Consider the following 16935-nt stretch of genomic DNA (forward strand, 5'->3'; position numbering starts at 1 on the left):
CACACACGTCCCGCCGTGGACACTGGAGAATCCTTCTCGCCACACACGTCCCACCGTGGACACCGGAGAATCCTTCTCGCCATACATGTCCTGCTGTGGACACTGGAGAATCCATCTCCACACACGTCCCGCCGTGGACACTGGAGAATCCTTCTTGCCACACACGTCCTGCCGTGGACACCGGAGAATCCTTCTCGCCATACACATCCCGCCGTGGACACTGGAGAATCCTTCTCACCACACACGTCCCGCCGTGGACTCTGGAGAATCCTTCTACTCACACACACGTCGCGCCGTGGACACTGGAGAATCCTTCTACTCACACACATCCCGCTGTGGATACTGGAGAATCCTTCTCGCCACACACTTCCCACCGTGGACACTGGAGAATCCTTCTCGCCACACACGTCCTTTCGTGGACACTGGAGAATCCTTCTACTCACACACGTCCCGCCATGGATACTGGAGAATCCTTGCCACACACGTCCTGCCGTGGACACTGGAGAATCCTTCTCGCCACACACTTCCCACCATGGACACTGGAGAATCCTTCTCGCCACACACGTCCTGCCGTGGACACTGGAGAATCCTTCTACTCACACACGTCCCGCCGTGGATACTGGAGAATCCTTCTTGCCACACACGTCCCGCCGTGGACACTGGAGAATCCTTCTCGCCACACACTTCCCACCGTGGACACTGGAGAATCCTTCTCGCCACACACATCCTGCCGTGGACACTGGAGAATCCTTCTACTCACACACGTCCCGCTGTGGATACTGGAGAATCCTTCTCGCCGCACACGTCCTGCCATGGACACCGGAGAATCCATCTCCACACATGTCCCGCCGTGGACACTGGAGAATCCTTTTTGCCACACACGTCCAGCCGTGGACACTGGAGAATCCATCTCCACACACGTATCCTGCTGTGGACACTGGAGAATCCTTCTGCCCACACACGTCCTGCTGTGAAAACCTCCACGCTCCCTTTCCGTTTTTGCTCTCAGCTGTCCTTCCAGTATGCTGCTTGGGTCAAGCAGCCGCATCTCCACTGTCCTAATGACAAAAGACACCAGCACTGTCTCACTTCCTTTCCTCCTCCTCTCCAGAGTGTTACCTTCCTGATTGACAGGGACTTTCGGTTTTCTATTTAGAAGCACATGTTTGGTGCAGACATGTTGTCCAAGACTTGACATTGGGAAATGTTGGGAATAATCTGAAACTCCTTACAATGTGATGTTTTGGTGATTAAAAAAAAATGTTTAGGAAAGGTTGCTAGGCTTTAAAAATATATATATTTTGCTAACCTCATGGAGTCACTGTGCAGACCCTCTCAGCAGCTAGCCAGGCTGGCCTGGCCCTGACGGCCCGGGAATAGCAGCTGTCTTGTGACTTCCCACAGCAGGCACATTGCGTCGTCTCTCAAAGTCCCTCCTCTGGAGCGCCTCCTCTGCCCGTGGGGCTGTGCGGGACAGTGGCCGCGTCTCTGTCTCATTGCAGGACAGCACTGGGTCTTAGGTGCTTTTTCATGTTGTCCACACCTAACGCTGCTGCTCCCCGGGGCCCAGTTTTGAAACTGCCCTTTGGCATCATGCTTTCCCGCCCCTCCTGGGAGCAGCGCCTGTGGGAGGGCAGCGTTATTCCCAGCTCCTCAGAGAGGAGACCACATCCATGGCAGTGTGTGACTGTCCCTTTCGGCGGTCCTTTGTGAAGCCCGCGGGAAGTTCTGCATTCAGTTCCTGACTCCCAGAAAAACGTCCTGTCTTTTGAACTGAAAGGAGGCTGATGTCAGAGCCTCGTTGAGTAACAATGGAGAAAATCTACATCAGAGGAAAGAAGCCCTGAGCTGCTTTAAATGCTTCTGTAAGATGATATGCCACAACACGAATGTGGATTGTTGACAGTAACCACAGAGACGAGATCATCGAGGGAACCAGCTGGGAGTTTGTGAGGCCATAAAACACATCATCAAAAATATGGTGAAGCAAATTCAGAATTGGTTTTTAGAAAGGAGAAGGAACCATTGGCAATCTGACCCATAAATTATTCTACATTTTCAAATATTATAACTAGGAAGGTCGCTTCAAGGAGCCTTCAAGCCCCTCATGCCCACCCGCCCCAAACCCATTGTCACTGCTAGGTCCCAGATTTACAGCCACCTGGAGAGGAAGTTGCAGGGGGTCTCTGTGCAGCTGAGGATGATGGAAGGGATTGCAGAAGGCTGGTGCTGTAACTGTTGTTAGCGGGAGATTGAGGCCGGGGGGTGGAGTAGGGGCTACTTTCTTCCCCCTGCACCTGCTATCATGATTTCAGCAAAACCTTGCCTTTCTCCTCTTCAATCTTAAATAGGTACAGTGGCTGAGTATTAATATTAATGAGCATAATAACAATAATAAAACTGGCAGTAGCATCAAATGAATGTGGTCTCCTGCAGTAGAAATATTTACCCGATGTGTCCTGCCAGTGAGAGAGATTTTGGCATTAAACCTAGACATTACCTCATCCTCCTGGGCAGACAGCCGATTGCCATGCTAAGCAAGTCTGCGCCGAGAAGAGCTGAGTACCTGCCGACGGCTGCATGGCCCAGACCCCAGGGAACACAGTTTCCTTGAGCCTGTCTGTCTGTCTGTCTGTCTGGGTCTCACCCTTAATTCCTTTCTTTCTCTTTCCCTCCTCCGGAGGTTGGCATTGTGTATTTTCAAATTGTGTTGCTTTTTTTTTTTGCAGAATCTTGTAGGGTGTGTTGTGAAAAGTCTGCCAGCCAGGTGGGTGGGTATTATTAATAATCCATAGAAACCCAAGGGGTCCGGAGTGAGAGGAGAAACATGACGTGCCTGTGTGTGCACAGGACGCCTGACACTCGCTCACACACGCATGTCCCTCTCTCTGAGAGCCAGGGAATGGGGTGGGGGTTGGTTTGGTTTAATGCATGATAAAAACAGGGGCATTCTGTAATAACAGAGCTTTCATTTCAAGATTCTTAACAACTAAAATAATATTTTGAAACATTTGGAATTGTACTAGAAATGTGTGTTTGATATGTTCAACCTAAGAAAACATCACACTTAAAATGCTTTTACTCCACTGGCTTCAGACCTCTTTGAAATTGGTGCCTACACAGCTGAGAAGTCCGGGTAGGTGCCGTAGGCAAATTGAGGGGAGAAAGTGACATCTTGTGTAACGCTGCAAATTCGCGGAAGGCTTTGAACCGTCACCAGAGTAGCAAATACTCATTGTGAAAGTTTTTGCAATGAGGTACGGAAAACCATTTCAGCTGCTCTGATTGTCAGCTCTCCTGTGTTTTCTTTAGCTCCTGACTTAAAGTTACGTGTCCTGTCAGTTTTGATACTCTTACTACTTAGTGCTTTAGGTTTTATCAGCTGGTGCCACATCTTTTAAAATTCTGTCCCACTAGCCTCTGTGCTGGTCCTGACCGATTCACCAGCTCTTGGGACTGTGTCCAGATGCCTTTTGTGATGCCTCTTTTCTAAAATGCTTTTATTTGGGTTTAAGATGTACTAATTCTTTCACACACCCATAGCTGAATACCAAATATTGGTATGCATACTACCAAACTTTTGTGTATGAAGTTCGTACAAGGCACTAAGTCATTTAAAACATTTTAATTGTGTGCTGAGCTCGTAAGTGTACAATATGACTGTCTAGTAAATTCTTAATTATTTGTCGACTCTTTATCGAAGAAAAAAGTAAGTAGGGGAAAAGATAAAGGAGCATCCAGCCGGTGGCAAAGGAACAAGCCGTGTAGCTCTGCTTCTCACCCACTCTCAGCTAGCTTGGGCCACGGCTGCCTGAAGTGACACCAAACAGGAACCCCACTGGGAGGACTGTACGGGCCACACCCATGGACGTGATCTGTCTATGAAACAGGTCTTCTCAGTGCTTCGGGGTGAATTTTGACTTCTCCTGAGCCATCCTCAGAGCACAGCTGGTGGGGAACTTCACCCGTCTGGTCACTCCTGAAGCAGTCTGGCTGGCAGCCACAGGCTGGGATCCCAGTTGTTGGAGGTCAGTGCACACAGCGGCTATCTGCTGTAGCAGAAAGAATTTAGGGGAGGAAAGGCTTGAGAAGGAAGGGCAAGAGAGAGCAGACTTTGTGGCATCAGTCAGGTATATGTGCTTGTATTAACATGAACCTGAGAGGCTGATGGTATTACATGGAATTCCAAGTTTCGACTGCATGAATTCTGTCTCTTGTGGTTTATCTATGGCCACCATCAACCGATGTTGTGTGATAAAACGTTTAAAGTATGTACAACTGAAAGTGGAGATGGATACTAGGGGCATTTAACGTTTTAAGCTTTCCTCCAGGGTTTTTTCCTCAGTTACATGGAGGATGGCCCTAGGTACTAACTGTTGGAAATGGCAGCATTGAAAAGTGCAGCACTTTCTGCTTCAGCAGCATCTCAATTCTGCGCAGCCTTTGAAAATCCTTTTCTACAGATAGCAGGCAACCTGCCATTGTTCCCAGCCGGCAGCGTGGTCCCTGCCACCAGGTGCTTGAACAAACGGCCATGTGTATGAGGGTCCCTTCTCCTAAGTAAAATTACCCTAAAGACTCTAAACGAGAATGGAGACTTTGAAAAAAATCTTCTGTATTTTTCTATTTTAATTATCAAGTAGGGGAAACAGATCTGAAGGGGAAAGAGGAGAGAGGACCAGAAGGGGGCTTCCTTGCTGTGCAGGAGACCTGTGGATCCAGTGGAAAGCAGCCCCATGTGAGATGAAATTATCACAGGGGCGGGATGTGCCAGAGGGGAAGCAGGCAGCCCAGGCATGTGTGCGTGGATGTGGAGCCCCTTTCTGAAGTGAGTTTGGTTTTATTTTGGGCAGGCCTCATAGGCTGTACATCTGGCAGGAGATGAGAAAGGAAAGACTGGCTCTTGTTTTAAAAAAAAAAACTAAGTAAAAAATAATTATTTAAAAATGACTCAAAAGAAATAATTATGAGACTAGTTATGATAGAGTAAAATGATTTGTTCATTTTCCAGATTTTAGGTAACATGGATATACTATATTTAAAGATTTATTTTTTTAATAACATTACTAATGATAGGCAAGGCTCATATAGTACATAATACATGCCAGGCGCTTTGTAGAAATGAACTCATGTAGTCCTCCTCACAGCTCTATAAAGTTAGCATAATTACCGTCTCCACCCTAGAGCTGAGGGAGAGAGGCTCACGCAGGTCACATATCTCGCCTTGAATCACACAAGTGGTAAGCAGTGGAGCCAAGAACTGAGCTGGGCAATCTGGCCCCAGAGTCCGTTCGCTGACCCCCATGCTACACCCCCTCTCAAAAACAGAGACTTGGACACCAGATCCAAATTCAAACAAGACAGTTCCCTGCTTTTATCAACCTAAAGCATTACTAATGGGTTGCTCCGGTTCACAGGTGTGGCATTCACAGTGGCATTCTCCAGATGAAGACCATGGCTTTTAAGACAAGTGTCCACGGTCTGCAGATGAACAGTTGCAAACTCAGAGAGAACTAAGCCATCTAGAATATTGCATTCATTCTATATTTTTATTTTTATTTTATTTTGTGTTTTTGAGACAGAGTCTCACTCTGTCACCCAGGCTGGAGTGCAGTGGCACGATCTCAGCTCACTGCAACCTCTGCGTCGGGGGTTCAAGCGATTCTCCTGCCTCAGCCTCCCGAGTAGCTGGGATTACAGGCATGCGCTATCACGCCTGGCTAATTTTTGTACTTTTAGTAGAGATGGGGTTTCACTATGTTGGCCAGGCTGGACCCAAACTCCTCACCTCAGGTGATCTGCCTGCTTCGGCTACCCAAAGTGCTGGGATTACAGGCATGAAAGAACCACCCCACTTGGCCATTCTGTATTTTTAGAATACACACTTTCTCTTCCGAGAGAGGCATGGGTGTGGCTTATACTGCCAGCTGTTGGTTGATAACCCTGTGCCGCCATTCCCACAGACATGCCCCACTATTGTCCTTGCTGTTTGTGATGGATTCTGATTTGGGAATATCCACCCTTAGTAAGAAGCTTCACCTTCCCACTAGAGGACACATGCACCGACGAGGGGTGGATGGAGAGGGTGGCTTGAGTCTGGAGACCTGGAATCCAGCACTGCCATGAGGATGGGGACGGGGATGGGGATCTCAGGGGTTGCCATCCATTGTCCCCACACCAGACGATGTGCCAGCATTGTCCCTGGCATGCTGTGGGGGCTCTAAGAGATGGTGATTCCTTCTGAATAAGGAAATATAAAAATGTCTCTTAATTCCCCTAGGCAGTAGGAGCTGGTTACCCACAAGCGAAGCCTCAGTTAGATTCTCCCAGCAGAGAAAAGGAGATCTTCAGGCTAGTCCCAATAGGAACAGAACTAAGCAGAAGAACTTTGTACTTGGATGCTGGAGATGATACTGCGTATCTAATGCTCACGACTCTCACTTTGCACAGTAATGTGGGACCATAAAAATGGCCCTGTGAATTGAAACCATGCAAAGTGATGTTAATAGCAGGAAAAATTATAATTGCTGCCCTGACCTTTAAGCATATTTTTGGTCACAGCATTAAAAACTTTTCTACCATCAATTGTAAATGCATAGGGAAATGGCAAGTGATAGTAGAACTGGTATTTACTTAGCATACTAATAATTTAAAACACTAGTGACCTTGCCAGGCACGGTGGCTCACGCCTGTAATCCCAGCACTTTGGGAGGCCGAGGCGGGCGGATCACAAGGTCAGGAGATTGAGACCATCCTGGCTAGCACGGTGAAACTCATCTCTACTAAAAATACAAAATATTACCCGGGCGTGGTGGTGGGCACCTGTAGTCGCAGCTACTCGGGAGGCTGAGGGAGGAGAATGGCATGAACCTGGGAGGCGGAGCTTGCAGTGAGCCGAGATCGCACCACTGCATTCCAGTCTGGGCGACAGAGCAAGACTCTGTCTCAAAAAAACAAAAACAAAAACAAAAACAAAACACTAGCAACCTTGAGAATGGAAGCATGCTGTTTCTTGGTGAGACTGATCCCTAGTGGTCTGAGCGGTGCCACCTCCTCTCATCCTGTCACCCGCAGTGTGGGGTGAGCAGAGCAGCCTTCCTGCACTGCACGAGCTGTCACACTCCCTCCTCAGTGTGGATCCACTTCCCACTTGTTCTCCTGTGTGCTCTCAGCGTTGTAAAGTATCTCCAAGAGTTTCTTTAATGTGAACTTGTTTCCTGGCATTGCTTCCTCCAGGCCGTCTTTGTCCCGTTCCTTATAGCCACTTTCCTCCTAAGCTCACCTTCCCCTGGGCGTGACAGGAGTCTCACTGCAGCCTGGCCACCAACCTGCGAGCAGCTGTTTCCTCTTTTTTTTTTTTATTATTATACTTTAAGTTCTAGGGTACATGTGCATAACGTGCAGTTTTGTTACATATGTGTACATGTGCCATGTTGGTGTGCCGCACCCATTAACTCGTCATTTACATTAGGTATATCTCCTAATGCCATCCCTCCCCCTCCCCCCACCCCAGCTGTTTCTTTTATAACTCCGTTTACGGTAGGCTTGAATTTCACTTCCAGCAGGACTTTTTATTTCTTTGCTGCACTTTTAACTTTGTTGGTGGTTTTCCTCTTTTGATGACCCGTTTTTATAAACATCACATACATTTACCCCTGGGTGACAGGGACCAACACAGCTACATACTTTGCATTCTGTACATGAAAAACAGCAGGTTATCCAGAAGCTCTAGCTAAGATCACTGATGAAGGTGGCTGCACTAAACAACAGATTTTCACTGTAGATGGAATAGCCCTCTATTGGAAGAAGATGCCATGTAGGATTTTCATAGCTGGAGAGGTCAATGCCTGGCCTCACAGCTTCAAAGGACAGGCTAAATTTCTCATTAGGGGCTAATGCAGCTGGTGACTTTAAATTGGCATGGTAACCAGTTGCCAACAGACTTTGAGAGAAGTGACCTGCTTGGTCACTGACCATGGCACTCATCTGTCATTTGCATGGTGATCTGCATGGCAGAAGTGCTAGCTGTGAAGTCTGCAGTTTCGGCGCTGACAGTGACTCTATACAGGAGTACCTCGCTTTACTGTGCTTCACAGATACCGTGTTTTTTACAAGTTGAAAGTGTATGGCAACCTCACATGGAGCAAGTCTCTCAGTGCCATCTTCTCAGTAGCATGGGTGCATTTCATGTATCTGTGCCACATTTTGGCAATTCTTGTGATATTTTCAACTTCTTATTATATGTTATGGTGATCTGTGACAGTGATCTTTTTTAAAATTCTTTTTAATTTTAATTTTTAAAATGTTTATTTCAATAGGTTTTTTGGGGAACAGGTGGTTTTGGTTACATGGATAAGTTCTTTAGTGGTGATTTCTGAAATTTGGGTGCACCCATCACCCGAGCAGTGTATGCTGTACCCGATATTTAGTCTTTTATCTCTTACCCTCCTCCCAACTTCCCCGCGAAGTCCCCATAGTCCATTATATCATTCTTATGCCTTTGCATCTTCATAGCTTAGCTCCCACTTATAAGTGAGAACATATGATACTTAGTTTTTCATTCCTGAGATACTCCACTTGGAACAATAGCCTCCATCCAAGTTGCTGCAAAAGACATTATTTCATTCCTTTGTATGATTGAGTAGTATTCCATGGTGTGTATATCTACCACATTTTCTTTATCCCCTCATTGGTCAGTGAGCACTTAGGTTGGCTCCATATCTTTGCAATTGTGAATTGTGCTGCTATAAACATGCATGCATATGTGATACAGTGATCTTTGATGTTACTATTGTAGTTGTTTTGGGGCACCACAAACCATACCCATATAAGACAGTGAACTTAGTGTTGTGTGTGTTCTGACTGCTCCACTAGCTGTTCCGTCACTTCTCTTCCTTTCCTTGGGCCCCTCTAATTCTCCAAGACACAAGAATATTGAAATTAGGACAAATAATAACCCTACCGTGGCCTCTATGTGTTCAAGTGGAAGGAAGAGTTGCACATCTCTCACTTTAAGTCAAAAGTTCAAGATGATTAAACTTAGTGAGGAAGGCAGGTTGAAAGCCTGGTAGTCTGAAAGCTAGGCCTCTCATGCCAAACAGTTAGCCAAGTTATGAATGCAAAGGAAAAGTTCTTGAAGGAAATTAAAAGTGCTACTCCAGTGAACACACAAATGATAAGAAAGCAAAACAGCCTCATTGTTGACATGAAGAAAGTTTAAGTGGTCTGGATAGAAGGTCAAACCAGCCACAACATTCCCTTAAGACAAAGCCTAATCCAGAGCAAGATCCTAACTCACTTCAATTCTATGAAGGCTGAGAGAGGTGAGGAAGCTGCAGGAGAAAAGTTGGAAGCTAGCAGAGGTAGGTTCATGAGGTTCAATGAAAGAAAACATCTACATACCATCAAAGTGCAGGGTAAAGCAGCAAGTGCTGGGGTAGAAGCTGCAGCAGGTTATCCAGAAGCTCTAGCTAAGATCACTGATGAAGGTGGCTGCACTAAATAACAGATTTTCAGTGTAGGTGGAATAACCCTCTATTGGAAGGAGATGCCATGTAGGGTTTTCATAGCTGGAGAGGTCAATGCCTGGCCTCAAAGCTTCAAAGGACAGGCTAAATTTCTCACTAGGGGCTAATGCAGCTGGAGACTTTAAATTGCAGCCAATGCTCATTTCCCATTCCAAAAATCCTAGGGTCCTAAAGAATCATGCTAAATCTATGCTGCCTGTGCTCTAGAAATAGAACAACAAAACTGGATGACAGCAGATCTAAAATAGATCCATAGATGTATTTTTAGCCCACTGTTGAGACCTACTGCTCAGGAAAAAAAAAGATTCCTTTCAAAGTATTACTGCTCATTAATAATGCACCTGGTCACCAAGAGCTCTGATAGAGACCTACAGAGAGGTTAATGTTATTTTCATGCCTGCTAACACAACATCCACTCTGTAGCCCATGGATTGAGGAGCAATTTTTACTTTTAAGTCTTATTCTTTAAGAAATAAATTTCCTAAGGGTATAGCTGCTATAAATAGTGATCCTTCTGATGGATCTGGGCAAAGTAAATTGAAAACCTTCTGAAAAGGATTCCTCATTCTAGATGCCATTAAGAACATTCATGACTCATGAGAAAAGGTCAAAATATCAGCATCGGCCAGGCACAGTGGCTCATGCCTGTAATTCCAGCACTTTAGGAAGCTGAGGCTGGAGGATCACCTGAGCCCAGGAGTTCAAGACTAGCCTTTGGCAACACAGGGAGACATCATCTGTACACAAAATTTAAAACAAAAACAAAAACAGCCAGGCATCATGGTGTGCACCTATGGTGCCAGCTGCTCAGGAGGCTGAAGTGGGAAGATCAATTATGCCTAGGAGGTCGAGACTGGAGTCAGCCATGATCATGCCACTGCACTCCAGCCTTGACAACAAAGCAAAACCCTGTCTCAAAGACAGCAACAAAAACACAACAGGTATTTGGAAGAATTGGGTTCCACCCCTCCTGGATGACTCTGAGGGATTTAAGACTTCAGTGAGGAACTAACTGCAAATAAGGTAGAAATAGCAAGAGAACTAAAATTAGAAGTGGAGCCTGAAGATGTGACTGAATTGCTGCAACCTCATGATCAAACTTGAGTGGATAAGGAGTTGCTTCTTATGGATAAGCAAAGTAAGTGGTTTCCTGAGATAAAATCTACTCCTGGTGAAAATGCTGTGAATATTGTTGAAATGACAACAAAGGATTAGAATATTTCATAAACTTAGTTGTTAAAGCATTGGTAGAGCTTGAGAGGATTGACTTCAATTTTGAAAGAAGTTCTGCTGTGGATCAAATGCTATCAAATAGCATTGCATGTACAGAGAAATCTTTTGTCAAAGGAAGAGTCAATCAATGAGGCACTCTTCATTGTTTTCTTATTTTAAGAAATTGCCACAGCTACCCCAGCCTTCAGCAACCACCACTGTGATCATTCAGCAGCCGTCAACATTGAGGCAAGACCCTCCACCAGCAAAAAGATTACAACACAATGAAGGCTCAGGTGATCATTAGCACTTTTTAGCAATGAAGTGTCTTTGATTTAAGGTATGTACCTTTTTTAGACGTAATGCTGTCACACGCTAGAGAGACTACAGTATGGTGGAAACCTAACTTTTATATGCACTGGGAAGCCGAAATATCTGTGTGACTCACTTTGTTGCAATATTCACTTTATTTTGGCGGCCTGGAACTGAATCTGCAGCATCTCCGAGTATGTCTGTGTTGTAGTAACTGAAATGTGAACCGTATTGTTCAGAGGCAGGTGTTATTTAACTAAATCATGGGAACTGAGATGTTTTTGTATCTGAACTGCGTAAAGTGGGGATAGCCTCTCCGTGGTTAGATCTAGAATGGAAGAGGTAATATGTTTTTGTGGGAATGGGGACCTATGATTTTAGCTAAATCCCAGGAGTCAGCTTGGAGACTTTCTGCATGTCATGCAGCCTCCTGGGGCCTCAGTTTCTCTTCTGTACAAGGCTGAATAACCTTCACAAAGTCTCTTCTAGCTCTAAAACTATTTGGTTCTATGATGCAGGAGTCCTTTAGAGAGAGTTCCAAAGAGAGGCATAAATAATTATTAGAAATCATCTTTGATATAATGGACTTTGGAGAGTTGGGGGGAATGTTGGGAGGGGGCGAGGGGTAAAAGACTACATATTGGGTACAGTGTACACTGCTTGTGTGATGGGTGCACTAAAATCCAGAATTCATGACTATAGAACCCACCCAAGTGATTAAAACCACTTATACCCCAAAAGTATTGAAATAAAAAAATCATCTTTAAAAATATGAGGAAAGGCAAAGTCAGTTGGGTTGGCCTTTCTGGTGCAGAATGACAGTGTCAACACCTGTTAAGTTTCCCAGCCAGGGCTGGTGATGGACTGTCTGTCTCCACGGCAGAGTATGGAAGCAGAGAGGCACTACCTGGGGCAGAGGGAGATACGGCTGAAAGCATGGAGAGGATTAATGTGGCTGGGGTGAGGAGTGAGAGGGAAACTTCAACACAAAACAAAACAGGAAGATAGTGGAGATGGTGCTCCAGTGATCTTTTTATCTGCTTGGAAAAAAATGGAATTAAATTCAGATCTTCCAAAGAAAAGCTAATACATGTAAGTTAGGAAAACGGCAGTGATTTCTGGGAGCAACATTCTTCAAGCCTGGATTAGTTCACCCATAGAAGTCATGGAACTCATGTCCTCACACACAGGATCTGTGAGGAGCGGCCCAAGTGCAGCCTGCAGAAGGAAGAGGAGAAAACTGGACCTGCTCAGAAGGCCTCTGTCCACTGAGCTTTAGATCCTGTTTCTGAAAAGGGAAGGCAAAATGTGCTCAAAAAGAAATCACACAGGGCCGGGCACAGTGGCTCACTCCTGTAATCCCAGCACTTTGGGAGGCTGAGGCGGGCGGATCATGAGGTCAGGCGTTCAAGACCAGCCATCTCTACTAAAAATACAAAAATTAGCCGGGCATGGTCTCGCACACCTGTAATCCCAGCTACTGAGGAGGCTGAGGCAGGAGAATTGCTCAAAGCCGGGAGGAGGAGGTTGTAGTGAGCCGAGATCGTGCCACTGCACTCCAGCCTGGGTGACAGAGTGAGACTCCGTCTCAAAATAAATAAATAGTCACACAGGTTATCAGTGTACTATTAATAGAAAATGGGCATATTCTTTGAAAATTATGGGTAAAGAAAGGAAATATATGACATGAATTCTGTAATCGTTTTCTGATAGGTAGAAATTTCCCTCAAGGACTGACTTGAATGGACGGGGATGAGAAAGACAGTGATTGTTTCTGGCCCCTCAGTAGGAAAGGCGGGGACATGGGTACAGGTGCCGGAACAGCCCCAGCATTGGTTCTCCCTCGGGCGTGCTGGGCCAAGAAACGTTGGCTCTCAGGAATAAAAATCCCCAGACCTAAAACAAAGAGAAGACCTTGGCCTCCTCTCTGTTTGCTCAGCTTAATGCCCCCAAATCAGACTGTATGAGGAAACACACAAGAAATGTATTTTTAGCGTCACTGGCATGGGGCATGTTCTGGGGACCAGAAAGATGTACAACATCTGGGATGTATGTACCATGACAGCTGATGTATGTAGTCGACATTTCTTTATGCATAGAAATTAAGTTTCTAACAAGGAGCGCTTGCGTTGCTCCGTTTATCTAAATCAGGTTGGAAGGCAAAATATCGTGTTTTGTTTTTAAATGTAATTTCCTTCCTGTTCCTTTTCATGGTTGTGTCTCATGCTGGGCCTACAGGGTAGATATAGGCTGAGTAAGAAAATGTGGCCATATTTTAGCTATGCCATTATTTTAACCCCTCAGCCACACATCTGCTGTGGCATGAAGTACCTGACTGAAATAAACCTCCACCAGAGTCATGATACAGGAATGATCTTCCTAAAACCCTACATAACTATAGCCACTCAGTCATCTGTGGCCTCCTTTCCTTTGGGGACAACTTTGTAAGAAAATAATCTCAAAACAGGAACATCCCTTGTGGTTTTGTGAGGTGCTCGCCATGAGCTTCTGGAGTGGAAAAGGTTGTGTGCTTACAATGTGGGTGTTGAGTTCTTTTCAAACCTTAATGCTTTTGGACATATATTATGTTCCTAATAGTTTTGCTGCTCTTGATGTTCACATTCTGGATTCTTACTTCCTTAGATTCATTGAGTAATTTTATGTAGTTCACAGTTCCTAGGTTAAATGGACTTGATCAATTCTTCCTTGAGCTTTAGAGAACTAATGACTACTGCATTTAATTTGAGAAAATTAGAGATTGATTTTTCCAGGTATTCTGCCTCCTCCCTCCTCTAACTCTAACTGCATTTATGTTTAACTTTAAAATTTACACCCATATTTTTGGGATAACTAGGTTCCGATACTGTCCTGGGTATTACTGGTCAAATTCCAGTTGGCTGTAATATGTTGGGATTTCACATTTTGCTTGAAAATAAATTTGGCAGTGGAGATCACTTGCACTGAAAAGTAAATTTTTTTGGCTTATTTTATACGTTACCCTATCCTGTCTTCTCTCACTGCCTTTTGGACTTCGGAGATTGTCTCTGAATTATCAAATGATAGTGCAGTGGATGAAGTTTGGCCACAGATGCTAGTTGCTCAGCAGCAGTTCCTTTAAACGAATAAGGGTCTAAACTGCCCAGAGGGCCAGCACCAGAACAGGGTCTTGCACATTACATAAGCTCCATAAGTGTGCACAGTCTGATGATCATGTCATCCAGCCTGCCCTACATTGCAGTTTGCTTTGTTCTGGGTGGCACTTGCCCCGGGGTCACAGAGCTGCCCTGACAGGTGACAGAGCCTGGCCAGCCCTCACTGTAATACACTCTGCACCCTTCCTGTCTCCAGGCTTACAGACAGCCTAGTAACGGTTTCTGTAATCTGAGCTGTCTGCTGCTTCAGAACACATTTAGAGATCAGTAAGCAAGTCACATTTTCCGTGTTAACCACTGTGGGCTAAACACAAGATGTTTTTGTGGGTGGGCAACTTTGTGTCTCCATGGACATTTTTTGGCCATACTTATATAGTTAAGAAGTTATTAAATTACATGTGTTTTTCCCTTCTTTTGTTAGGGAAAATGCAAACTTCAGGAGCTTCAGATCTTCTTCTTGGGGATCCCGTGGGGAGCTGGATCCTCAGATATTTAGGAGCGGACAGGTCCTCACAGGCTTCCACCTTCATCGTCTTCATCAGTCTCCGTTTATTGTGAGCTTTCAGAGCTTATGCTGAATTTTCTTGCTATGTTCAAATCACCAGGGCCCCAAGCCTTGGACCTATGTTGGGCTTTGATTTCATGAGAGCGTGTTAGAGGTTACTCATGGAACACCTGTCAGGCCAAGGTAAAAGTGTATAAGGTGGGTCCTACCCTGGCACACTTAGCCTGTCTTTTTAAGCTTGAAACATTTAAAAGTATTTAGAGATCTTGTTGATGAAGACTCTGATTCAAAGTCAGAACTTGGAGAAATTCAGATAGACATCCTGAGAATTTTCAGCAGAAAGTAATATAGGCTTTTTCAGCTAGAAGGGCCATAGCTCACCATTGTGGATCAATTCAGGGAACTGGGGTGCTGGAGAAAGCATGATCCATACAGTCCCAACAGACTTTTGCCTCTTGCCAGGAAGTTGGAGAGATTGGAGATTATTGTTGTTGTATTTCATGTGTACTTTGTCGTATATGTTAACTCTTGTACTAACTTCTAGTAAACTGTATATAGGTCTCATTCCATAATAGGGGCCCACCCATTTTCAAAGAATCCATAATAACTCGTGGAGGGCTGAAGTCCTGGGTTGTATCCTGACTCTCTCTGTGAACTGTGACCTTGGAAGAGTAAACCGTTTCTTTAAACCTCAGTTTCCTCCTCTCTACAATGAGATAATAAACCAATTTCACATAATTACTGTGGGAATTAGATGAATACAAATAAATCACCTAGCACAGTGTCTAGCATATAATAAATATACAACAGATATCGATTCCATTTATAAAGCTTCCTTCCTCCATTTATAAAGCTAAGAGTTAAATAACCCATTCTCGTATAATTGACCATGGATATCCGAGTCAGGTGGGCCTCGCTGACAGGTGAGCCAGGATTCTAGGGCCAAATAGAGACAGACGAGGTAATGGGAAAGGCTGACATCATAGGCCGTGGTAGCCCTCTCTGGGGACTACTTGTTAACACTGTCTTAAGACTATTTAAATTCCATATTTGTGTCTATGTGTATATTTATTTAAAGAAGCCGTGGGTTCGCTTGGTCTTGTAACTTCCACCTTGGACAGCTGTGTCTCTGAGCTAATCCCAGGATCACAGGCTTAATGCAATGCAGCTTGATGAGCTAAGCTCATGCAGAAGCCCTGGTGAAACCCAGGCTGGTGTTGCTGCCCAGCCTCTGCAAACATCCTGGTGCACAGGTGAGAGTTGTAGGTTCAACGTCTCTGCTCAAACCCACCCTACACTATTTGTAGGTGAGCAAGCCATTGACAGAGGCTCTTTCAAGCCCTGGACTGTAACATCTCTCCATGCTTTCACTGAAAGGCATGTTTGCCCACCCCCACCCCCACATTACCACTGTGGGCAAAGCATGGAAGGTATTTAGGTGGGTGGGCAACTTTTTTTCTTTGTGGACATTTTGCTATATTTAAATGGTTGTGAAGTAACTGAATTACATAACTGTTAAAGGGTCAGCCTTTAGAGAAGACAAATGTAAGCGGTGGAGCATATGGTCTCGATAGGCTTGGGTTCTGTTCGTCTCCCGAATAGGCCTTCCTTGTGCACAACACTGGCGTGCATTCTTTCTTCTGCCTGCCTCTGTTATTACATTGGTTTTAAAGAAACCAAAATCCTTGGTGAGCTGCCTGTAGGCATGAGGGAAGGAAGGATGAGTATTTCTGACTTTGCTTTTTGAAAAGCTTCCAAATGTGGAGCAAAGAACAGGAGACAAACAAGGAGTGGTGGTGGTTCTTGCATGTCACTTTGAATGTAACTTTGAAGCCAGGTTGTCCTAGATGGCTTATGGTTATAGGACAGTTGTCTTAAAAAACAAAAACTAAAACTACAGCACATAGACACCAACACAGATGAGCAAATGCTAAATTGTCATGTAATGCAAGTGACTGATCAGATGTATAGCACTGGTGAAAGGTTCCTGCTGTTTTGCCAGCCTCTTGAAGGAATCTCAGTAGACTTACAAATTCACGTTTATGTTTCATCATTTAACAATGGTTCTTTATTTTACCTTTTTAAGGACCTAATAAATAAGTCAGACAATGACACAAGATTTGGAGAGCTGAAACATTTCTAAATTATATTACGATCACTACTGCTTGAGGTATTTATTTGCATTTTATGGGGAATTTCTTAAGCAACCTGAAATTTTTTGTTTTGT

The 16935-nt window shown here is 44.8% G+C and overlaps 1 protein-coding gene across 48 annotated transcripts in view, besides 2 other annotated features; it reads left to right on the top strand.

Moving 5' to 3' along the window:
- LDLRAD4 (low density lipoprotein receptor class A domain containing 4) overlaps positions 1-16935 on the top strand; it is a 435073-nt gene that overhangs the window by 281189 nt on the left and 136949 nt on the right. The window lies entirely within an intron of this gene.
- Positions 1370-2027: an enhancer, noted in NCBI's record as "OCT4-NANOG-H3K27ac-H3K4me1 hESC enhancer chr18:13500239-13500896 (GRCh37/hg19 assembly coordinates)". NCBI's record gives its function as "activates a minimal SCP1, AML or CMV promoter by ChIP-STARR-seq in naive H9 embryonic stem cells {active_cell/tissue: H9 hESC(naive)}" and the evidence as "EXISTENCE:reporter gene assay evidence [ECO:0000049][PMID:30033119]".
- Positions 14324-14433: a silencer, noted in NCBI's record as "silent region_9334". NCBI's record gives its function as "represses an Ori minimal core promoter by ATAC-STARR-seq in GM12878 lymphoblastoid cells {active_cell/tissue: GM12878}" and the evidence as "EXISTENCE:reporter gene assay evidence [ECO:0000049][PMID:35858748]".

The sequence above is a fragment of the Homo sapiens genome, chromosome 18 (genome assembly GCF_000001405.40).
Source record: "Homo sapiens chromosome 18, GRCh38.p14 Primary Assembly".
Classification (NCBI taxonomy): Eukaryota; Metazoa; Chordata; class Mammalia; order Primates; family Hominidae; genus Homo; species Homo sapiens.